At 34.4% G+C, this 26,317-nt stretch overlaps 1 protein-coding gene across 18 annotated transcripts in view, besides 2 other annotated features; it reads right to left on the bottom strand.

Moving 5' to 3' along the window:
• The window catches only part of ERBIN (erbb2 interacting protein), a 155,972-nt gene that overhangs the window by 51,256 nt on the left and 78,399 nt on the right, over positions 1 to 26,317 (bottom strand). For all 18 annotated transcript variants that reach the window (XM_047417376.1, XM_047417378.1, XM_047417380.1 and 15 more), the window contains 10 exons: positions 19,164 to 19,242; positions 17,653 to 17,742; positions 16,566 to 16,622; positions 9,906 to 9,969; positions 7,927 to 8,001; positions 6,841 to 6,985; positions 5,739 to 5,811; positions 5,314 to 5,443; positions 4,874 to 4,989; positions 2,948 to 3,017 (listed from right to left, as the gene is read on the bottom strand). In XM_047417376.1, the coding sequence (XP_047273332.1) occupies positions 2,948 to 3,017; positions 4,874 to 4,989; positions 5,314 to 5,443; positions 5,739 to 5,811; positions 6,841 to 6,985; positions 7,927 to 8,001; positions 9,906 to 9,969; positions 16,566 to 16,622; positions 17,653 to 17,742; positions 19,164 to 19,242 (899 nt within the window). The remainder of the gene's footprint in view (positions 1 to 2,947; positions 3,018 to 4,873; positions 4,990 to 5,313; positions 5,444 to 5,738; positions 5,812 to 6,840; positions 6,986 to 7,926; positions 8,002 to 9,905; positions 9,970 to 16,565; positions 16,623 to 17,652; positions 17,743 to 19,163; positions 19,243 to 26,317) is intronic.
• Positions 18,678 to 18,747: an enhancer, noted in NCBI's record as "active region_22614". NCBI's record gives its function as "activates an Ori minimal core promoter by ATAC-STARR-seq in GM12878 lymphoblastoid cells {active_cell/tissue: GM12878}" and the evidence as "EXISTENCE:reporter gene assay evidence [ECO:0000049][PMID:35858748]".
• Positions 20,646 to 20,735: a silencer, noted in NCBI's record as "silent region_16062". NCBI's record gives its function as "represses an Ori minimal core promoter by ATAC-STARR-seq in GM12878 lymphoblastoid cells {active_cell/tissue: GM12878}" and the evidence as "EXISTENCE:reporter gene assay evidence [ECO:0000049][PMID:35858748]".

Raw genomic sequence — 26,317 nt, 5'->3', positions numbered from 1 at the left:
TCATGCCTTCAGCAGCTCATGAAAATTATATTACTGCATGTACTGTTCTACATAGCTGAGCAATTTATTTTCATAAACATTAAATAGTAGAACAATTTACTTTTATAATTCACAACCAAACCTCTGTATACCTTCTCCTCTACATGTCATTCTTTCATAGCAAAATTATTGCTTCATATGGTAAGGGTAAGGGAAATTTTCTAGGTATATCTGATTTGTTTTACTCAATATTCTGTCAAACTTTGAAGAACAAAGACTCCTACCATACAATTTTTGTTTTAAACCAAGTGGAGAGTGAGAATAGAATGAGAGAACACTATAAATATGAAGAAACCGTAGCAGATACTTGGTTAATTTCATTAAAATGAACCATCTGGTATAATTTGCTGGCATTAATTTATCCACAGAAGTGCTACTGCAGGCCAGGCATGGTGGTTAACACCTGTAGTCCCGGCACTGTGGGAGGCTGAAGCAGGGGGATGGCTTGAGTCCAGGAGTTCAAGACCAGCCTGGGCAATATCATGAGATCTTGTCGCTACTAAAAACGTTAAAAAAAAAAATTTAGCTGGGCATGGTGACATGTACCTGTGGTCCCAGCTACTTGGGAAGCTGAGGTGGGAGGATTGCTTGAGCCCAGGAGGTGAAGATTCCAGTGAGTCTTAATTATACCACTGTATTCCAGCCTAGATGACAGAGTAAGACCCCGCCGCAAAAAAAAAAAAAAAAAAGGTGCTACTGTACTAATAGAATTAGTCTAAGAGTTCCTCGAGACCAGGAGGTATGTCTCATTCATTGTGAAGTTAGTAAATGGCATAAGATGGGGTCCAGCAAATTTTTCTGAATCTAGTCGCAAAATTTCAAATCGTTTAAACATATACTATTCAATTAAGAGAAATCAGTTCCACATATAACAGATACGGTAATTGCCTGTGTTAAAAAGCTCCAGTAAAGCTGGGCGTGGTGGCTCACACCTGTAATCCCAGCACTTTGGGAGGCCGAAGCAGGCGGATTACCTGAGGTCAGGAGTTCCAGACCAGCCTGGCCAACATGGTGAAACCCCATCTCTACTAAAAAAAATACAAAAATTAGCCGGGCGTGGTGGCATACACCTGTAATCCCAGCTACTCAGGAGGCTGAGGCAGGAGAATTGCTTGAGCCCGGGGGCACAGAGGTTGCAGTGAGCCAAGATCATGCCACTGCACTCCAGCCTGGGTGACAGAGCAAGACTCTGTCAAAAAACAAAAACAAAAACAAAACTCTAATAAAGGCAATGTATCATTTTAATATTTCCTCTCTAAATTTGCAAAGCAGGTAAATAATGTCTTATTCATAACCATGGATTAACATAAATTTAAGGCTTCTGGGATATTAGTAATGGCTAGGTAAGAAACAGGACCCCAAGGCAGGGTGTGGTGGCTCACGCCTGTAATCCCAGCACTTTTGGGAGGCCAACACAAGCGGATCATGAGGTCAAGAGATCGAGACCATCCTGGCCCTGTTTCTACTAAAAATAAAAAAATTAGCTGGGAGTGGCGGCACATGCCTGTAGTCCCAGCTACTCGGGAGGCTGAGGCAAGAGAATCGCTTGAACCCAGGAGGTGGAGGTTGCAGTGAGCTGAGGTCACGTCACTGCACTCCAGCCTGGCGGCAGAGCGAGACTCTGTCTCAAAAAAAAGAAAAGGACAGGACAAGACAGGACAGGACAGGACAGGACAGGACAGAACAGAACAGAACAGAACAGAAAAGGGTACCCAGTTAAAAACTATGAAGAATCCTTGCGGGTTTCTTTACTGTATTAACACCTCAGGGCTGTTAATATAATCCAGAATTAGAATATAATATAGTTTCCCAAGAAAATTTGGCTGCGGAGTTCATGAGTATCATATGAGACCAGTGTACCCAACACTGGGAAAATACAGCTTTAAATAAATTATTATAAAATATTGCTCAACATCAAATAATAAGCATTAATTTTTTAATTCAAAAGATCAGTAAATTGTACATTCTATTTTGTTAGAAAAACTTACAAGGAATCCTTACACACTGTTGGTGGGAATATATTATGGAGGTTCCTCAAAATATTTAAAATGGAACTATCATATAATCCAGCAATCTCACTACTGGATATATATCCAAAAGAAATAAAATCAGTATGTTGAAGAGATGTCTGCACTCCCATGTTCACTGCAGCAGAATTCACAATAGCAAATCAGCCTAAGAGCCCATGAATGGATGAATGAACAAAGAAAATGTAGTGTGTGTACACAAATACACATACAATCACAATGGAATACTATTCAGCCTTAAAAAAGAAGGAAATCCTGTCACTTGCAACAACATGGATGAACCTAGAGGACATTATGTTAAGTGAAATAAGCAGGAACAAGAAGATAAACTTCACATGTCTTCACTTATATGAGGAATCTAAAAAAGATAAACTCATAGAAACTAAGAGTAAAATGGTGGATTCTGGGGCTGGCGGGGTGGGCTGGAACATGGATTGGGATATATTGGTCAAAGGGTACAAAATTTAAGTTAGGAGGAATAAGTTCAAGAGCTCTACTGTACAACATGGTGACTACAGTTAATAACACTGTTATAGTCTTGAAATTGCCGAGTAGACTTTAAGTGTTCTCACTATAAAATAGGCAAGTGTATGAGATAATGCTATTAAATTCAGAGTTTGAGTCTGATTTCCTAATCGCTCAATATTTTAACAGATTTAGGAGAAATTAGGCAAGTCCAACATAATTCATTACTTATAAATCTACACCTATTTTATAAAAAGTATCTGCTTCTAAATATTTTGAGATTTTTCTTATATAAAAGATATGTTTACATGTGTACCACATGTATAGCTGCTCTTAAATGACCCTATGTAAATCGGAGTGCAAAACTATATAACACAAATAAGAACTCCATTAACTTATAAAATCAGAATGCCCACCTGATTATCTGAGAGCCACATAGCTGTCAATTGCTGTAGCTTTGTAAAGCTAAAGGGTAAATTCTTTAATCTGTAGGAAAAAAATACAAACAAAAATTAAACTTTAAAATGAGAAGATTTAAAATGAATGAGGGTTCAACCTAAAGGTTTTCTGAAAAATGCTATATAGTTGCACATGAAAATAGGAGAAAAAAAAATCGAGAAAAGTCCAATATAATTCTTCGTATAGGACATAAAACAAAATATCTAGTTTTATAAGAATTAGTTTCAAAAATATAATTCTTCAATTGAATCAATTCACCTGGTAAGAAAATGGATAATAGAATAACCTTAAAAATCTGTTGAAAAATTAATTGTCCCTGCCTTAGAGAAAAGAACACATTAAGGAATGTCTCATAACATTGCTTTGGTTTATTTGTACTTAGGGAGAACAAACTGTTATAGGAAACACTCTTAGTGATAGTTTGCTATAAAAACTGCACTGCTCTCTATTTGTGAGCCAGCAGTTACATAATCTAGAAGACTACCCTAAGATGATAATGATTAAAAACAAAGTACAGTCATTCCTCAGTATCTGTGGAAGACTGGTCCCAGGATCTCCCTCAGATACCAAAATCTGCAGATGCTCAAATCCCTTATATAAAATTGTATAGTATTTGCATATAACCTATGCACATCCCCCCATATATTTTAAATCATTTCTAGAGTACTTATAATACCTATTAAAATATAAATGCTATGTAAATAGTAGGTATACTGTATTGTTTAGGGAATAACAATGGGAAAGTTGGTACACGTTCAGTACTGACACAATTTTTTTCCAAATATTTCTGATCTGAAGTTGTTTGAATCCACACTTGCAGAACCCACAAATACAAGGGTCAACTATAAATACTCATTAGAATACTAAATGAAAATATCTTATTTAAGAGAGAATTATCTACTTCAGCCTTGCTATCTTATACCTAACTAGTCTTCCGTGCCTTTCTTTCAGCAACCCACTGTGGGCCGTAGGAATTAAAGGCTGAAACGTGACTTAAGAAAGCAGTGGTTCTTTTAAATAAAACAGAAGTTAGAATATCATAATTAGTCAGAAAATTGAGTTTAAATTAAAGCTCTACCTTACAAGCTACGTGAGTCACCTTAAATCTGAGTCTTAAAACCCTCCTACATAAAATGGGAATACTATTATACTATTTCATAGAGCTGTTTTGAAGACTTCACAAGACACTATGAAAGCAAAAAGTGAAAACACTCTACAAATGCTGTTTAATCATCATTAGTATGTTTACCTCACGAAAAAGTATGGACATTCTGTTTTTAACTTAAACATTGTTCCAATTTACAACCCTAGTGATCAATTTACTCTGCACCTTGGCTTTGTTGAAACCAGATCTCTGCCTAGGAAAATATTAGCAACAGACTAGATACATTCCAAAATTGTTTTGTTAAATAGCAATATTCAGGTGAAGATGTGACTTCAGAAATAAAAGGTAACTGTAAGAAGAGAATAAAGACTATATAGCTAAGTCAACCCAAAATGAACAGTAACAACCACCGTATGATAAATTAACATCAGATAAAATAAGACCACTCTTTGTATTTAAAGAAAAAAATATATACAGTTAAGTCCTCATTTAAGTTATTGATAGGTTCTTGGAAACCAAAACTTTTAGCAAAACTGTGTATGGCAGGTTCTCAAATAATGTCATTTTCTTATAACACTGATGAACGAAAGAAGTGATTTCATTGTATGTTGTTTCACTGAAAGTCACACTTTCCAAGAGCCTATCAATAACACTGAGAACTTACTATGTATATTTAAAGAGCAACAAGCACTAGCTATTCTATTATATATCATATGAAACTTAATTTCATCTAACCAATGTCTCCTATAAACCAACTGATGAATATAGTATTACGAACCTATTATCACTTAAATTAATGACTTTTAATTTTTGCATATCACCCATTTCCTCTGGAAGTGTCTCAAGTTTATTGGAATGGAGAAACAGCACAGTTATATTTTTCCAGCTTCCAATCTGAAAGAGAAATATAAACTGAGTATCAAAAAATTTGGCCTACAGGTTGATCAACATATAAAAAACATCATTTTTGAAAGTTATGAAAAATACTTCACATTTATAGAAGAAATAATGACTAGACTTTCTTTTTAATTAATTTTTATGTACATAAGAAAGCATTTAAGAACCTCTTCTAAATTAACATAGCTAATTATTCAGAAAATAAATAACTTGAAAACTATTTTAGAAAGAAAATAAATGAAGCCACACTAAATAGCTATAATGAAGATAATCAGAAAAAAATGAAAAGACAAAAATCTAAACAAATCTAAAATACATTACCTCTGGGGGCAACTGCTGTAAGTAATTATGATCAGCAGCAAAAGTTCTTAAGTTAGTAAGCTGCCCAATAGATGAAGGCAAAGCTTCAACTTCATTGAAACTACAATCCAGTTCTTCTACTGATATTAACCTTTAATTTAAAAAAAGAAATATATATTATTTGTTAAAGATTTCCTATATATAATCCAAAATTTCAGAACATATAAACATTTGAACTTGACTTTGAAAACCTAGTGAAACCATTTCACAAAGCTAAACTTCACCAATAAGTAGGTTTGTCTATCATAAACACACTCAACCTGTATACTAATTACTTAAATGTTTACAAAATCTTTAGGTCATTTATGCAAATACCTGAAAATATGTATGGCATGCTGAACTGAAAGTAAAATCTTCGAGGGTGTATACATTCACAAAAAACTTACCCTCCTATAGAGTCTGGCAGATACATTAACTGGTTTTCATCTATTTTAAGCGTTGTTATATTCTTCAACGAACCTAATGAGGGAAGAAACAACATACAATTTTTCAGCTTAAAATAGAAGCAAGTCCACCAACAGTCAGTGTGAGACATACTACATCTGACAAGAATTAGAAACAACTTTCCTAACAAACGTATCTAAAAGAGATACCACTCCCAATCCCAATGTTCTATTCCCTCATCCTGTCCTTTCAATCTTCATCCACATCACTATTTAACATAGTGTACATTTGTTTATTAACTCCCACTAAAATATACTGATAGTAGGAACTTTTTTGTCTTCGTTGTTCACTGTTGTAGCTCTGCTTCTAAAAACAATGTCATGGCACAGAAAAGACAGACAATACAAACTTGTTAAATTAATAGACTAAAGAAATGGTAGTATGAAGGTAGTTCATAACAGGTATATAAAAAACTATTCCATATATACTAAATACTAAAACAGTAAAATATTTTTTAAGTTTAAAAAGTGTTGACTAAGAGTAGAATCGTAACAAACTTACAAAAATGTAGTTTTAGCTAAAACCACTACGTGATTTAACTGAGAAATATTTTTGGTTTTTAAATTAAAACATCAAAAAGATGTCAAGATTGAAGTTTTGGGTCCTTTCATCAAAATAATTCAATTCCATTGACATATCATTGAACAAGCAACTACACAGACTCAATCATAGATCTCTCATGATCTGTTCAACTGATCTGTTTTCTTGTCTGAGTGTCTGTAATGAAACAGGACTGAAAAAAGTTACCAAAATAAAAGCTATGACAATAAAAGCTAACAGTTAAGCCAAATTTGCATAAGTTAACTTATTTTAAAGAATTTAAATATATTAGAAATAAAAATGAGATTACCTTAGAGTAAATAAAAAACAGTAATGTCAACAAAGGAGCAAACTGTACAACTGATCACACCAGGAAAAATTCAAATAAAATCCGTTCCTGTGGTAACGAAGTATAACTACCTCATAACAAGTGAAATTTGAGATTATGTGGAAGTCTCGAATTTATTTTAATAAAAATTACATGAATTTGAAAGCAATACAAACCAATAGTCTCAGGAAGCTGCTGAAGTGAATTGCTTGATAATAGGAGGTCTTGAAGGTTTTCACATGTTGAAATTCCTTCTTCAACCATTTCAATATTATTTTTAGAAACATCCAAATATGTGAGCTGTTTCAAACTACCAATAAACTATAAGTAAAAAAAGAAAATCTAATGACTCTATTAACATTAGTAATTTGTAAAAAGTTTAGGGAATAAACTTGATACCAAGTTTTAATTCAAAATTAAATGCTAATACAAGAAAGAAGACTCCCAGGTAGTTTTTTAAATGCCATTAGAAATGTATTCAGTAATATAGCTAAGATGTTCTACTAATTGTAGCATAGCAGAAGTGACAAAGGACATATTCTTTGGGAATTCAGGTATCCATTACCTCCTAAGGAAATAGCATATATGGGGATTCTTGTGGTTTTTTTTATGGGAGTAAACAATTTGTCAGTTGTTAAAACAGAAAGTTCGGCTGGGCGCGGTGGCTCACGCCTGTAATCCCAGCACTTTGGTAGGCCGAGGCAGGCGGATAATGAGGTCAGGAGATCGAGACCATCCTGGCTAACACGGTGAAATCCCGTCTCCACTAAAAAATAAAAAAAAATTAGCTGGGCATGGTGGTGGTCACCTGTAGTCCCAGCTACTCAGGAGGCTGAGGCAGGAGAATGGTGTGAACCCAGGAGGCGGAGCTCGCAGTGAGCCGAGATCGCACCACTGCACTCCAGCCTGGGCAACAGAGCGAGACTCTGTCTCAAAAAAAAAAAAAAAAAAAATTCAGAAAGTTCATGAAAAATATCCTAGTTTACCAATTCCTTGGGCAAAGCAAATTGGGACGTAAGTTCAAGTGATACCATTGGAAAGGACACACTCAACAGTATTAAAAGGAGACATACAAATGTTTATTATGAGAATTCTTAGATTATAATCAAGAATGTGCTCATGAAAAAAAGTAATTTGCTTCTGTTTAATAAAGAATAATTCAATTTTTTTATTAATTAAAAGTAATTATAAAAGGTACAATTCACAAAACTGCAAAGGAGAGCCAGAAATAAGTGATGCCATTTAAAATCTCATATACATACCCCTGGAATAAAAGTCAGTCTATTAGCATCCATCCAAAACTCTTTCAATCCACTTAGTTGCTCAAGTACTTCAGGCTGTTGGGATTAGGGTAGGGGATAGCAGTAATTCAATTAATTTTTATGAATGTCTTTATCTGGCAAAAGAAGCCCTGGGAATTTCTAATAACCTTTAGTTTCAAATCATTAAATAAAAGGAGCAGGGAGAAGGAAAAATAAAAAAGAAGAGCCAGGATGTAAGCCTTTCTACTGCATTATAGTTACTACAGTAAAATTATTATAGAAAATTATTAATGGAGAAATCAAAGAGACATGCCATAGCAGTAGATTACAAAAAACACATTTAAGCTTTGGATTACACAACAGGGGCAAGTTTTTATATAATTTGTAAAGAAATAAAAAATAGGACTCACTGCTTAGAAGTATACAATAAAAATATGCACTCATGCATTATCAGTAAGAAGATACAGCTTTTAGAAAACAGAAAAATTACAAATGTTCCCTGGTGACATTCATTAAGAAGGAGATAAAAGACAACGTGCATCCTAAATGTCCATAATCAGGGAAAGGTAAATAGACAAAGTCATAACTACATGATACAAATATACTGTAATTTAAACCTCTAGTAAAAACTTCTAATTACATGGTAGAAAATTCTTTATAATATGGTGTTGAGGACATCAAAATTAATCCAAGTGTTGTGGCAGACCTTCATATCCAGGCAAAATTTGCTCCTGGGCATTGTCCCTTCAAGTCTGCCCTCTTCAAAGTTATTTCTATCACCTCACAAAGCCATCTGCAATCAATGATCATGTGATGGCACAGAGTACTATCACATCTAATGACCATAGTTAACAGTCATATATAAAAGGCATGCCAATCAGATTTACTGTTAACATATAAATATAGATAAGAATCCCAGATGTAACTTGGATTAAAAGAAATTTCCTTTTGTGCATTACTGTTAAATTCTACTGTAAGTTTTAAAAAGTGTATAATGTTGGAAGACCAAAATGGTACAAAAACTAATGACGATTTTGAAAGCTTGTTGGATTCTTAAAATGAACGAGATTTTTGAAATAGTTAATACGGAAACGGATTCATACAGAACAAATATTGAGAAAGGACGTAACAGATAAATAATTTGGGAAGCACAGCATGTATTTTAGAGAATGAGGTACTCCAAAGTACCATGTTCCTCCTCAAACCTCAGCTGAAATTTATAATATTAATATAATACCCACAGGGCAATACTATAGCAAGCAGTTTTGAGAAATTCCTAGGCTTAAAACCATCATTTGAGAGCTACCACACTTTTAAACAACAAACTTGTAAACTAATTTAAAAGTTTAATAATGATACTCAGCTGGATGAGTTCCTCTTCAAAAAAAAAAAAATCTAGCTTATTTTCTGAGTTCTTTTGGAAAACTCACTAAAGACAAAAGCTACTTAAACACTACTCCTTTCCTTTTAGAGTCAGCTTCATAGCGCACTTGGCATACAAAGCACAAACAAAAAGGTTCTCATTACCACTTCAAAAATAACAGTTGTTTCACTCAATGATTTTCCCCTTAGCTATTAAGTAACATTATAGAGAAGTATCTTATTACTGAATAAGTTAACAAGCAATACCCCATGGAGCTCTCTCTGATTCAGAACTACTTTTACCTGCTGCATTCCAGACTGATGTTTCCCACTTATAATCACTCAAATTTTCTGCTTCCTATGCTAAAAATTGTTTAGTATCTCTTCCATGGACCTCTCATTGATTTTACATTTTATGCTCACTTGTGGTCAGAAGTTCATCTGTCTGGTTAATTTTTCTATCTGTCTGGAAAGTTCTGGCTAAGAAATTTCATATCTTGTAACTAAGAAAAAAAAGTAAACCTTTATCCAATTTGTAAGAGAAATACATTAATTTTCATATTTTGTTCTTCATTAAATATAAGAACTTAGGGAAAGTGAGACTGATGAGAACTTACCACTTCCGTGAATTCGTTACTTCCCAAATCCAGTCTTTCCAGCTGGGTCAGTCTATTCATAGTTCTGTTCATAATGGAGTAATGAAAAATTAACTAGAAAAATATCAATTACATGGAAGCTTTCAAAACAGTCTAAAACATTCTTATGGAATAGGTAATTATTTATGGGCTTTCACATGTTGACAAAATAAAAATATTAATTTTCTAAAAAATTTTAAAAGTCAGATTTCTAGATAAAATAATTATCAGTTATTATCTTATTTTGCCTTCTCATTGGTCTTTTCATTTCTATTTTTAAGAAGCAATTGCAATAAATTTAAACCCACAAGCCAGAATACAAATAATGAGTTTCTATTTTTTCACATAATGAATTTTCATATAGTACAAGTCAGCTAATAAATGTTGGCAGATGTATAATAATTACTACCATAATTACAAAAATTCTTTTTCAAAACTGCTCATATATTTGTAAGACTTTAAGATAACTGTAACTCCGAAAATTAATATTCAAAATGCTAACAGTACGTTGTATTACTCCCCACATGTTCAAATTAAATACAATACAATTCAAAATAAAGTTTTATATGAATCACAAATTAGTAGTTGACATTTATTTTAAATAAAAGCAATAATATACTATTCTTAACTTCCAACTTAACATCAACACTTCTCTGAAATTACAGGAACTTGAAAGATGTACAAACCAGTTTGTAATGAAATAAACTATGTTGCACTTCTATCTTTTCTCTCTCCTTTTACAAAGGTACCCTTTGAAACTAATTCAAACAAATATTTACACTCTTAAGTGGCTATTTTTGTACAACACCTATTATTTAATACATTGAGATGTAACCAGTTACCCAGATAAGAAATTCTGTATTAAGGATTTTGTAGGATATGACAAAATGAGAGCAAAATATAGTTATAATCACAATATCAGTATATTACATTAATATGTTAATACTTTGAAAATGAGTATCATTTAAAATCCACAGGCACTTCAAATTACGGCACGAAAAACACAGACTATTTCTATCTTCTCTGGAATTTTAACAAAAATTAGTAATAAGTAAAATAAAACTCAGTTGCAACATTTCTCCAGCTTTTTAGTCAAAAATATAAAAACAAACACCATCATTGTAATGAAACTGTCATTGGTCTACATTAGAAGCGAATTTTCCCTTTACATTTTAAATATGCCATTCTGTCATCAACTCTTCAATTCATCTCATAATGCCAATTTTTATAAAACTGCTTTCACCTAGATTTACTAAGTGCCTATTCTCAGGTACCATAATTCTGCTTCCTTACTCATATCTTTCCCCAGAAAACCTTTAAGTTCTAGCTTCCTTCATTAACAAGCGAAAGGTTGCTTCCACGATCTTTCTCCAGATGTATAAAATCACATGCTATGATTATAATTTCCTATGTTCAAATAACTATACCAGGTGGAGATTTGCAAAAAGTGAAGAAGATTGTGAGGAGGAAGAGAAGACTGAAAGAACAAAACATAATCTTACATTTCTTGCTTCAGTATTGTTATAATGACAAGATAACAGAAAATTCACATGTAACTATTGAGCACATAATGTCAATGGCATAACAGTTTTAGAAAAGGGTACAAAAATGAAAAGGTGTGCATTGGAAAAATTCAATTACAGATGATATCCTGGAAAATTTATATTTTAAAACAATTTTAGGAAAACGTGAGTGATACAGATATGTAATAAAAAAGAAAATATACTGTCATGTCAAAAAGAGTCTCCACCTCAACTCTCTATAGTTAATACTGACAACTGTGGCTATACTCATACACTTTAGAAATCTCAGAAATAAAACTGCATCCTAGAATAAGATCTAGCTGCCTCTCTCAAGGAGAAAACATAAACAATATCCCTCATATTTTCTCCCATCTGTTTCTAAAATTCATTTGTATTGAACTCATTTCACTTTCTCCTCTCCTCAAAGGAAAAGTAAAACATCTTTTGTGTTCTTAGTACTGTGCCCTCCAGTATTCTTTAGGTAGCATTAAATTTCACTTAACTATATATCTAAAACAACAGCTCTTTCCATTGCTCTAATCTTTGATATAGTCATATAACCTAAATGCACATGACTTTGTAATACTTAAAACTATATCCTCTTGTTTGTGAGGTCTCAAAGTTATAATCAAGCAAAAACCATTAGGAAAGAGAAAGAAATAAAGAGCATCCAAATTGGAAAATAAGAAGTCAAAATTAGTCTTGTTCACAGACAACATGTATCTTATACCTAGAAAAATCTAAGGACTTCACCAAAAAACTGTTAGAACTGATAAACGAATTAAGTAAAGTTGAAGGATATAAAATCAGCATGTGAAAATCAGGAGGATTTACATATGCCAACAGCAAACAATCTGAAAAATCAAGAAAGCATTCCCATTTATAGTAGTTACAAAAAATATGACATACCGGCCAGGTGCACTGGCTCACGCCTGTAATCCCAGCACTTTGGGAGGCCAAGGCAGGCGCATCATGAGGTCAGGAGATCGAGACCATCCTGGCTAACATGGTGAAACCCTGTCTCTACTAAAAATACAAAAATTAGCCAGGAGTAGTGGCGGGCGCCTGTAGTCCCAGCTACTCAGGAGGCTGAGGCAGGAGAATGGCGTGGACCCGGGAGATAGAGCTTGCAGTGAGCCAAGATCATGCCACTGCACTCCAACCTGGGTGACAGAGCAAGACTTCATCACACACACAAAAAATAAATAAAAAAAAATCTATATGTGTGTGTGTATGTATATATAATATATATTATATAATATATATTATATAATATAATATATATTATATAATATATAATATATATTATATAATATAATATATATTATATAATATATAATATATATTATATAATATAATATATAATATATAATATATATTATATAATATAATATATATTATATTATATATATCAATTTATTCTTAGGTATATACATATAACATACCTAAGAATCAATGTAAAGACGTGAAAGATCTATACAAGAAAAACTATAAAACTCTGATGTAAGAAATTAAAGAGGACACAAAAAAATGGAAAGATACTCCATGCTCATGGATTAGGATAATTAAAACGACAATACTATCCAAAGCAATGTACAGATTCAATGTCATCCCTATCAAAACACTGACATTCTTAACAGAAATATTTTTAAAATCCTAAAATGTATACAGAACCACAACAAAAGACTCCAAATAACCACAGTGATGCTAAGCAAAAAGAACAAAGTTGAAGGCATCACACTACTAGACTTCAAATTGTACTACAAAGCCATAGTAATCAAAACAGCATGGTATATAGGCACACAGACCAATGGAAAGGAATTGAGAACCCAGACATAAATCCATGCATTTACAGCCAAGTCATCCTAGAAAAAGGCGCCAAGAAGATAAAATGGGGAAAAGACAGTTTCTTCAATAATTGATGCTGGGAAACTTGATAACTATATGCAGAAAAATAAAACTAGACCTCTATCTCTCACCATACACACAAATTAAACCACAATGGAACAAAGACTTAAATCTAACACCTGAAACTATGAAGCTACCAGAAGAAAACACTGGAGAATGCTAATTCTCAATATAAATATCAAGGATACTGGTTTGGGCAAAGATTTTTTTGTGTAAGACCTCAAAACCACAGGCAATAAAAGCAACAAAAATAGACAAATGGGATTACAGCAAGCTAAAAAACTGCACAGGAAACAATCAACAAAATGAACAAACCACAGAATGGGAGAAATATTTGCAAAGTATCCATCTGACAGGAATTAATAATTAGAATATATAAGAAGCTTCAACAAATCAATAGCAAAAAAAAAAAAAAAAATTCTATTGTAAAATGCACCAGAGATCTGAATAGACATTTCTCAAAAGAAGACGTGCAAATGACAAACAGGCATATGAAAAAATGATCATCACTAATCAGAGAAAACTACAATGAAATATCATCTTGCCCTAGTTAAAATGGCTTATATCAAAAAAGACAGGCAATAACTAGCAAGGATGGGAACAAAGAGGAATCTCTGAACACTGTTGGTGGGAATATAAATTAATATAGCCACTATGGAGAACAGTATAGAAGTTCCTAAAAAAAATTAAAAATAGAACTATCACATAATCCAGCAATTCCACTATTGGGTATATATACAAAAGAAAGGAAATCAGTACACTGAAGGGTTATCTGAACTCCTATGTCTATGGCAGCACTATTCACAATAGCCAAAATATGGAATCAATTTAAATAACCGTCAACAGAAGAATGGATAAAGTATGGTACATATACACAATGGAATATTATTCAGCCATAAAAGAGGCTGCCTGCAGTAACATGGGTTGATCAGGAGGTCATTACATTAAGTGAAATAAGCCAAGCAGAGACAGATAAATATTGCATGTACTCATTCACATGTGCGAGCTAAAAAAAGATCCCAAGCCGGGTGTGGTGGCTCACGCCTGTAATCCCAGCACTCTGGGAAGCCGAGGAGGGCGGGTCATTTGAGGCCAGGAGTTCGAGACCAGTCTGACCAACACAGCAAAACCCCGTCTCTACTAAAAATACAAAAAATTAGCCAGACGTGGTGGTACATGCTTATAGTCCCAGCCACTCTGGAGGCTGAGAAACAAGAATTGCCTTAACTTGGGGGGCGGAGGGTGCAGTGAACCGAGATCATGCCACTGCAGTCAAGCCTGGGCGACAGAGAGAGACTCCGTCTCAAAAAAAAAAAAAAAAGATCTCATGAAGATAAGAGTAGAATGGTGATTAGCAGAGGCTGAGGAGGGTAGTGGGGAGGAAAGAATGAAGGGGAAAGAATATAAATGTATTTATTACCACTGAACTGTACACATAAAAATGGTAAAGACAGTAAATTTTACACATATTTTACCTCAATAAAAACGTATTAAAAAGGCTACAATCATATCTTAAAAGGAGAAAAGAATATTTGCAAATTCACTGAGAGTCTAATTTGAATCTCTAAAAGGTGTTAAAATCAGTTAATTGCCTATGATATCACATAGTAATTATAGGCTTAGCTATCACAGTAAACAATTTACATCTTGTTATTCAAATATCTTAGAAACCAGTCACATTTTTAGCTAAGGAACTATCACTGAGAGTATCAAATCTGTAATGTATACATATCTTTTTGAATTTTAATATGGATAATTTGACTTTAACTTATACTCACAATCATCACTATAAACATTCATCCATGCATTGAACAATTACTCAAAACACTGTCTTTTGGAATAAAAAACAGACACAGTCTCTGTCCTCACAGATAATCAAGGGAAACCAAGGGGAAGATACACATGCACATACATGCAGGTTATATGCTGGTCAGGGAAGAAGAGAGTGACATATAATAAAAACAGATACATTAACATTATCCAGCAAATACTGTAACAGATATAAATGTGTCATAGAAGCTGAGTAAACAGAACAACTCCTGGGGTAACTGGAGATGTTTTCCTTCTCAAGAGGTGAGAAGTTTGCTTGTTTGTTTGTTTTGAGCCAGGGTCTCACTCTGTTCTTATGCTGGAATGCAGTGGTACAATCATTGCACACTACAAGTGCAAACTCTTGGACTCAAGCGATCCTCACTCCTCAGCCTCCAGAGTAGCTGGGACTATAGTTACATGCTGCTGTGCCCGGCTAATTTTTTAATTTTCTATAGAGATGGGGGTCTCGCTTTGTTGCCCAGGCTGGGTGGGCAAATCTTGATGATGCGATTTCAACATGAGTTGGCAAATTTTTTCTGTAAAGGGCCAGACAGTAAATATTTTAGGTCCTGTACACCTAAAAAATTTTAGGGCCTACAGTGATAGAGCAGTGATAACCACTCTAACACCAACAACAGATGCATACAGTAGTGACAACTACTTTATCACTGTAAAGCAAAAGTAGCCACAGACAATATGTACATGAATGTATGTGGCTGTGTTCCAACGAAACTTGTTTACAAAAATTGACAGTGGGCCAGATTTAATCATAGACTGTAGTTTGCCAACCCTTAAAATGTAACACTATAGCAATGCATTCACAGTGTTTTAAGATATTTGGTCAATAAAAGGCCACAGACTACAGTGAATTTCGAGTTTGTAGACCTGTTTCTTTTATAATTAAATCTTTTTTTTTGCTCCTGGATTGCCATCTCTTGTTGTTAGCTTATCATTAGGGAACCAATCATCGCATTTCTAATTTACAATACACTACATAGCCAGACAATCAAGTTCTACCGTTACCAGGCTTCACATGAAGATCCTATGGATCTTTCTAATGAGCACTATGTGTATGAACTTTAGTAGACGAACCTGGGATTTCTGATTTCTATTCAGTATTGAGGTGGGCTTTACATATTTATTATTTTGACTTTTATGTCACACACAAGACTGCATTTCAGACAGCTATAAATCATTACCAACACAGTACCACGTTAAGCACCAACAACAGACACATACATTTTAATATTTTAACACCATTAATTAAATATGATGACCACACAGTCAGGATTTACAAATAATTTGCACCACATTTTAGGTAATAAAAATTTACATTTTTAAAGACTTAATCATTAAAAATTATAAATTAAGTTTTTTAAAGAATAGCACCTTTACTTACTTAGGCAACATTTTTAACTGGTTTTCTCTAAGCTCTAATATTTGGAGTTTAGTTAATCTGCAATACAAAAAAAAAATCATGTATTTAGGACAAAGACAATGAATTTAATAAATTAATTTCATATTCTAATGTTTTAAAGGAAGCAATGTAATTGTGTAATTACTAATTGCAAAGTAATATATTAAAAATTACAGAACATAAAATACAAAGGAAGAAAAGACTTATTTTTGCTCCTCAAAATTGTGGTCAGAGGAAAAGGGTTAGCACTTCCACACATTTTCAAAGCGACAAAGTGAATATCCCAAAGTATCAATCCTCCAGAATTTCATACCTTTTACCAAAAATGCTCACAAAAATTAACTCTTGGTAGATTCAAGAACAATAATGCAACTCTAAAGTGCTGCTCTGAGAAGAAATAATGAAACAAAAGAAGGAGGAGAAATCCTCTGGCACTTCATTGATGTACATTCCACTAAAACTAGAGAGAAAATGAGCAGATTAAGTGATGCAAATGCCAGATACAGAAGAGGAATCTGACAAGTACATCAATGATTTTTAGATAAAAGATGGCTACAAAATTAACATTTAGTTGGCTAGCATTTTCTCTAGTAGTTAATTTAAACTCAGTAATAACTGCATATCTATTATACATTCATCTGTTTGTTTAAAAAATTACTCAGAGACTTGAGGGTGGCAGGGAGATGATGAGGTCGCCCCCAGAAACAGATTCTCTTTTCTTAAGAATTTTGATTCCAGGGGAGAAGACAGATAAATCAATTATTAAATCATTTTAGAATGCTAAGAATATAGCATTCAGTATCTCAAGCATACAGAAATTAACCCCATTGAAACGCCCTGTTTTGGCCACCTAAGAAAACTTTTTTTTTCTTTCAAACTCTCACTGATTATTGTTTACTTGGAAAAATTAAGTCAAAGCCACCAAACAAAGTATAAAAGTCACAATGCTTGGGAATAATTTAAAAAGAGCCTATGAAACTGTAATGAGTAGTACTACCAAAGCAGCTTATAGTTTTGTAAACTTTATAAGAGCTAATAATAAAACGTTTTAGAAGAAACCATAATTTACCTGCCAAAATTTGCTGGCAAGAACTCAAGAAAAGCATCATTCAGATACAACTGGGTTAGGTTTAACAGCTGAGAAAATCCATCAGGGAGCCTACATAAAATACCAGAATTTAAGTTAAGTTCATGTAAGAAATTCAGTCTTTTATTAAAATCTAAGACTCTCACAAGATATTTTCCCAACAGACAGAAAACAGTCGCTTCTGTTATGAGTGGCTACTTTTATGAGAGCCCCTTCAAAGATTTGCCTTTTATAATAACCTACTTGTTTCAATGTATCTTCATCACTTTGTAAACAGAAAATGAGGTAATATTTGTTTTAATAATGTAAAATATGAACAAAACAGTCAACTATGAATGAGCCACAATACATAAAAATATATTTAGGGTATAACTCTGAAATCAGCAGGCACTCTTGAAATCTGTCTTATCTACTCTCAATTCAAAGGACTAGAAAAGAATTTCTAAACCTTGGCAGAGAAATTTTGGGCTGAATAATTCTTTGTTGTACATAGGCTGCCCTGTGCACTATAGGATGTTTAGCTACAACACTGATCTCTACAAACTAGATGCCAATAGTGTGCATGCATGCACACAAATACCCCACTGTGAAAACCAAAAATGTATCCAGAAACTGCCAAAAGTCTGCTGGGGCATGAGAGCCCCCAGTTGAGAACCACTGGTTTAGATTACTTTCAATTTCAATATTTGGCTCCTAAATAATTTTAAGATTATACGATTTTATAATAAGCAAATGAAAAGAAAAAACATTTAAAGCTGAATGACGTTAGGGCCATGTAACAACCTACGTGTGTTAGCTTTACTTCTATTTTTTGTTGATTATGAAACAAGTAAAGATCTAGAATTTGATACTAGAGCAATATTTTCAAATGAAGAGGCTATACATAATCTTTACATGTTGGTTCTGGATTGCTATGCTTCTTTCTAGTCATCTTTTGCTTCACCATTCAATTTTTCCAAAACTTAACAGCCTTGGTGCCAGGAAAACTTTGTTTACAGTCATCACCATCATAAATGGACATTCACAATCTTCTGATACACTGCAACCAATCATATAGTTTTTTCTTTTTTTGTTATTGTTTTGTTTCTGTTTCCTGTTGTTTTGCCTTCTGTTAAAACTGTGAAGAAACTTTTGGTTTCATTGTTTTCAAAAGTTTGAAGGTACCACACACCTGATTTGAAGGCAAAGACACTCCTCTAGGGTGTAAATAACACAGAGTGAGGAAATGTGGATTCTACTCTCATTTCTGACATTAACTATCTGTGAGACTTGGAGCAAAACACTCTCACTATCTCTTTGGGATCACAAATTTACCTCAGTAGTACATGGGGTTAGAATGATTATTTAAAAGATTACTTTTTAACTCTAAAATTGAAATTTTGTATAGACTTAAGATTGATATAAAATTTTTGTTAAAATATGTACAATAATATCTACTAGTTTCATAATTGTTTTATTCACAAAAGTAATTTATAATTCACCTGAGAACTTACTTGGAAATAGGGTTTACACTGGCCTCCACAATTGTCAAAACTTTACAATTTTTTATATTTTCTGGAAACTCCTGTATTCCTAGAAAACAAACAACGATCAAATTAAAAGATCTATTACAAAGGACAAAATAATAACAGTAACAATAATATATGCCTTCCAGATTCTAAAGTAATATACCAATTAACAAGGAACTAGATGAACTGACAACATCAATGTGAACTAAACAATGACCTGCACAACAATTTCTTTATCTTTCCTCCTTTTATTTGCCTCTTTATAACTGCTAATTACTTAAATTGGTTTTTACCTTTCTTTCCTTCTGAAAATTAGTGCCTTCTACATGTGATGTTAAGGACCTAAATTGTAGAACATTTAACATTCTTTCTGTTTCTCTCACTTTAAAAAAAAAGGACCGTTTTTCATTATTTTTATTTGTTTTTAAGAGGGAGTCTTGATCTGTTGCCCACGCTGGAGTACAGTGGGGCGAACTAGGCTCAGTGCAACCTCTGCCTCCTGGGTTCAAGTGATTCTCCTGCCTCAGCCTCCTGAATAGCTGAGATTACAGGCGCCCGCCACCATGCCCAGCTAATTTTTGTATTTCAGTAGAGACGGGGTTTCACCATGCTGGTCAGACTGGTCTCGAACTCCTGACCTCAGGTGATCCACCCACCTCGATCTCCCAAAGTGCTGAGATTACAGGCTTGAGCCACCCCACAGGCCAAGGATTGTTTTTTTAAATGCTGGGCTCTTGATTGAGCTGGTTCCTAATATACATAAGCAAAGCTGAAAATAAAGCTGCAGATAGAAGAGGAAGACAGTCTACATCAGATATGCCAGTGGATATGCCTGAAGGCAGCACTGTCCACCCTAAGATAATGAAACATTTTCTCTTTCCTGCACCTATCCTGTTTTTCCTAACTATATTTATATTCCCCTTTTCTCAACCTTTTCCCTTCACGTAACCCAATGTCATGCTAAAAATATGATAACTGCTTTAAAATGCAGTGATTTCTGAATACTATGATAGATATATTCAAGAGATCTATTAGACATTTCAGCTTTGGAGTATCCTAGACCAGTGCTTTTCCAGCCAAATGAGATAAAGGATTATGGTTTTTAAATTTTCCAATCTGTTGTGGACCAAATACACTTACAAAATACTGTACAACTGGAATAACATCAAACTGCAGTGAAAGATTCTGAGCATTTACTCATTCCTTGAAATTATCACAGCCAAAATAAAGTAATAAATAATTTGTGGACTACCATTGGTCCACAGATCAACTTTAAAAAGCACTGTTCTAATCTAGACTAAAGGAATGCTAATAAAAAACATTTAAGACATTCCAAAAATGAATTTTATATAGCCTGTGTTTGTAAGATCCATTGCTCCATTAACATGATATGATTAACAGGATTGTCATTAGAGAACCATTTCAGACCCTTTCAACTTCATCACTACATGATTTTAAGTAAACAACTTTACCACAATATCATATATAGAATGTCAGGTGATGAAAAATGAATGATGCAAAACCACCAAATAGGAAATGACACAGTAGTAACTGTTTCAGTCAAAACTCATCAATGCATGCTAAAACTAGTGGGTAAAAGTATGATGAAAAACAGGGTATTAATAGAGACTCAAAAGATTATTTCCACAAGACACATGGCAATTAAAAAGGAAAAATTCACTTCACAGTAGAGAAATCTGACAAGCACCACCTTAACCTTCAAAATTGCTTGAAAGTTGGCATCATCAGTTAACATCATCATGTGGCAACTAATCTGAGATGTACTCAAAAACAATATCATATCACTTTGGACATATACTTGCCAAAAACACACAACCTGAATTTAATCATAAGTAAGCACCAAACGAATCCAAATTAAGTAAAATTCTGTCAAATAAATGGCCAATAACTTTCAAAACTATCAAGGTCAAAAAACGACAAAGGAAGACTAAGGAAGTAATGAGAGGAAGACTAAGGACCCACGAGACCTAACAAATAAATGCAATACGCGAAAGTAACAAGTGTTTGTGAGGATGTCAAGAAATTGGGAACTATACACATTGCTGGTAAGAATGCAAACTGATATACCCACTATGGAAAGTAGTTTGGTGGTTGTTCAAAATGCTAAACACAGAATTTTTAACTGGCACTTTTTCGGACTACTAATTCATTTTAATGTTGCATTCCCTGGTCTTTTCAGTTTTCTACTTCTTACATTGATTTTGGTAATTTATTTTTCACTTAATCTAAGTTTTAAAATTTAGTAGCTTTGTATCATTTATTCTTCCCCTTTTGAATGGAAAAAAGTCATTTTTAATAAAAAGATGATAAAATAGGAATGTGGGAGATGTTTCTTTTGAAGATGGGAGACAGGAATTTTCTTACTGGTAAAACAAACTTGGCAATCCTATTCCAAGCCTCCAAATTAACACTGAACACTGATCTACAAGACATTCTTTTTACTTAGAATGCTCTTCCTCCCAGCAAAACCAGTAGGATCTTCTGAAAGCCTATCCTGATCTCTAAACTCAATGAAATTTAACTCTCCAAAGAGTTCAATTATGCATTTTATGGCATTTTTACAATTGTTTACTTTGTAGTACCTGTGTACTCTTTGTATTATTGCTAGGTTTTATTTAGATTGACTCAATTCTCCACTTTAAGTACATGTTACTATTCAGCACATTGTACCTTTGTACAACAAATGTTTGCTGAATTTCACTTACCTACCATCTTCTTTTCTCTCATTCATTTACATACAAAATACTTAACATTATTGAATTTTTCCTTAGGAGTGAAATCTTTATCAGTTCTTCGACGAACAATTGTTTTTAAGTGATCATTCCATTGAGGATGCATTGAAATGATGCTCCTAATATATTACAAGAGCATCCCTTTGCTGAACTGACTAAATATTTTTCAAATGAAAGGGCAGTGTCTGCTGCTGCAGAGCCTAGGGAGAACATGTAGCAGTGCCTGGTGGCAGTGGGGCTAGAATTCTAGGGTACATGTCATGCTCAGACGCCAATGTGGAGTTGTGGAGTTACAGAGTAAGCAGAGGGAGTTTTGAATTACTGTGAAAAAGTTGCACTGAAAATTTTTGTATTTTTTTAAAGTCATTCTGTGGAAATGTTTGCATTTCTCTTGGGTAAATACCTAAGACTGGAATTGCTGAGTTAATTATATGTCTACTGATGTGGTGGATGACACTGATTTTCAAGTAATGATCCGACCTTGAAAACATGGAATGGATTTGGTTGTGGTACATAATTCTTAATACTTTTTAAGAAGTAAAACATTCCATGTTTGGGTGGAGCAAGAAAACATTCTATACAGTTCTCACTGGCATTCAAATTCATTTTAAAATTTAGCTAAATATCTCATCTTTATTGGTTGTTATTAAAATCTATACAGTATTTCGAAATAGCCAAGTAAAAGATATTATTTCCAGGAGTTATAGTATTTTTAGTACATGATAAAGTCTATCTAAAGAGAAAAAGACCTAAGACTATATAATATGTTCTACTGATCTAAAATACCATATGGAGAACAATTTCAAGAGCTTTAAATTACAAATATTGTGTTTAATTCCTATAAAAATGTATTTATTAGCTTAATATTATTTAGTGGAAATTAATGCTTGGATCATCTCCCACAAATACAAAAGAATACTTCATAATTATTTATTTATTTAGCGATGGAGTCTCACACTGTTGCCCAGACTGGAGTGCAGTGGCGCGATCTCAGCTCACTGCAAGCTCCGCCTCCCGTATTCACACCATTCTCCTGCCTCAGCCTCCTAAGTAGCTGGGACTATAGGCGCCCGCCACCACGCCCGGCTAATTTTTTATATTAGGGGTTTTATATATGGGGTTTCACCATGTCACCCAGGATGGTCTCGATCTCCTGACCTCGTGATCCGCCCACCTCAGCCTCCCAGTGTTGGGATTACAGGTGTGAGCCACCGTGCCTGGCCCTGAATACTTCATACTTTTTATATTATAAAGTACTTTATTCCATAGCATGTGGTTTATAAAAAGTATTCCACAAATGCCTGTGAAATTACAAATTCTAAATTACTACTGGCTTTCAGACACATAGTAGTAATTTTGCCCTAAGCAAACAGTTTTGAAACACTGGTTTTCTACTTTTGAAAATTGCTAGCAATGTGTTTAGTCTGACTTCAGTTCCTACCACATACATTTGTAGGTTCTAAATCTGTATCTCCAGTTCCCACCTCCCTCCTTAGCTGCTGCTAAGAATTTTCAAATGCCCATTAGATTTTGTTCACATGCCTCAAACTCAACCTATCCCAAGCTGAAATTACCTATCTTCAAAGTTATTCAGCAAATGTGTTAGTATCAGACACTATGCTATATACCACAGATATTTAAGGCACAGTCCTTTTTCATGAGAAGCTAAAATGCAATAAGGAAAACAAACATTTTCATTTGACTAGCTTCTCCCCCATTAGTAGTGTTCCTTCTCAGTAGCTTTTGCATTTTCTCTTCTTCCAGATCTGTTAAATGTTGGGTACAACCAGGGCTCATTCTTTTTTTTTTTTTTATTATACTTTAAGTTTTAGGGTACATGTGCACAACGTGCAGGTTTGTTACATATGTATACATGTGCCATGCAGGTGTGCTGCACCCATTAACTCGTCATTTAACATTAGGTATAGGTATATCTCCTAACGCTATCCCCTCCCCGCTCCCCCAACCCCACGACAGGCCCTGGTGTGTGATGTTCCCCTCCCTGTGCCCAAGTGTTCTCATTGTTCAATTCCCACCTATGAGTGAGAACATGCAGTGTTTGGTTCCCTGTCCCTGTGATAGTTTTCTGAGAATGATGGTTTTCAGCTTCACCCATGTCCCTACAAAGGACATGAATTCATCATTTTTTATGGCTGCACAGTATTCCATGGTGTATATGTGCCACATTTTCTTAATCCAGTCTATCATTGTTGGACATTTGCGTTGGTTCCAAGTCTTTGCTATTGTGAAGAGTGCCACAATAAACATACGTGTGCATGTGTCTTAATAGCAGCATGATTTATCATCCTTTGGGTATATACCCAGTAATGGGATTGCTGGGTCAAATGGTATTTCTATTCTAGATCCCTAAGGAATCGCCACACTGACTTCCACAATGGTTGAACTAGTTTACAGTCCCACCAACAGTGTAAAAGTGTTCCTATTTCTCCACATCCTCTCCAGCACCTGTTGTTTCCTGACTTTTTAATGACTGCCATTCTAACTGGTGTGAGATGGTATCTCATTGTGGTTTTGATTTGCATTTCTCTGATGGCCAGTGATGATGAGCACTTTTTCATGTGTTTTTTGGCTGCATAAGTGTCTTCTTTTGAGAAGTGTCTGTTCATATGCTTTGCCTACTTTTTGATGGGGTTGTTTTTTTCTTGTAAATTTGTTTGAGTTCATTGTAGATTCTGGATATTAGCCCTTTGTCAGATAAGTAGATTGCAAAAATTTTCTCCCATTCTGTAGGTTGCCTGTTCACTCTGATGGTGGTTTCTTTTGCTGTGCAGAAGCTCTTTAGTTTAATTAGATCCCATTTGTCAATTTTGGCTTTTGTTGTCATTGCTTTTGGTGTTTTAGACATGAAGTCCTTGCCCATGCCTATGTCCTGAATGGTATTGCCTAGGTTTTCTTCTAGGGTTTTTATGGTTTTAGGTCTAACATGTAAGTCTTTAATCCATCGTGAATTAATTTTCGTATAAGGTGTAAGGAAGGGATCCAGTTTCAGCTTTCTACATATGGCTAGCCAGTTTTCCCAGCACCATTTATTAAGTAGGGAATTCTTTCCCCATTGCTTGTTTTTGTCAGGTTTGTCAAAGATCAGATAGTTGTAGGTATGTGGCATTATTTCTGAGGGCTCTGTTCTGTTCCATTGGTCTTTATCTCTGTTTTGGTATCAGTACTATGCTGTTTTAGTTACTGTAGCCTTGTAGTGTAGTTTGAAGTCAGGTAGCGTGATGCCTCCAGCTTTGTTCTTTTCTCTTAGGATTGACTTGGCGATGCGGGCTCTTTTTTGGTTCCATATGAACTTTAGTTTTTTTTGCAATTCTGTGAAGAAAGTCATTGGTAGCTTGATGGGGATGGTATTGAATCTATAAATTACCTTGGGCAGTATGGCCATTTTCACGATATTGATTCTTCCTACCCATGAGCATGGAATGTTCTTCCATTTGTTTGTATGCTCTTTTATTTCATTGAGTAGTGGTTTGTAGTTCTCCTTGAAGAGGTCCTTCACGTCCCTTGTAAGTTGGATTCCTAGGTATTTTATTCCCTTTGAAGCAATTGTGAATGGGAGTTCACTCATGATTTGGCTGTTTGTCTGTTACTGGTGTATAAGAATGCCTGTGATTTTTGCACATTGATTTTGTATCCTGAGACTTTGCTGAAGTTGCTTATCAGCTTAAGGAGATTTTGGGCTGAGACGATGGGGTCTTCCAGATATACAATCATGTCATCTGCAAACAGGGACAATTTGACTTCCTCTTTTCCTAACTGAATACCCTTTATTTCCTTCTCCTGATTGCCCAACCAGGGCTCATTCTTTAGCCTTCTTTTTATTGACAATCATGCCCTTGGCGAATGCATCTAATCTCAGGCTTTAAATATCCATATGGTGACAACTCCCAAATATTTATCTCTAGCACAGTTTTTCTCTTTACTAAACTCCAGACCCCTATGAACAACTAGATCTCAAAAAAACTGAGCTCCTGATTTTTTCTATTAAAAATTACAACTCCCACAGATTTCCACATCTCAACTGATGGCAACTCTGTCCTTCCAAGGGCATGACCAAAATCACTGAGGGCATCCTTGACTCTTCTCTCACATCCCACATCCGATCCGTCATATACTGCTATTGATTCCACCTTCAAGCATATCCAGGGGCTGTCCTCATCTCACTATGTCCATCACTATCACCTCAGATGACTGAAACAGCATTTGAACTGGTTGTTTTTCACCCACATGCCCACAGTTCCTGTCTATATATATATATAGACAGATTAAACTTAAACACAAGTCACATCATGCTCTGAATTATCTATTCAAAACTTTCCAAGTGACTCTATTCTACTGACGGTAAATGTCAAAGTGCATACAAATGCC

This window comes from Homo sapiens, chromosome 5 (assembly GCF_000001405.40).
Source record: "Homo sapiens chromosome 5, GRCh38.p14 Primary Assembly".
Classification (NCBI taxonomy): domain Eukaryota; kingdom Metazoa; phylum Chordata; class Mammalia; order Primates; family Hominidae; genus Homo; species Homo sapiens.
The sequence above is the reverse complement of the archived record's forward strand: the minus strand, read 5'-3'. Positions and strand labels throughout refer to the sequence as shown.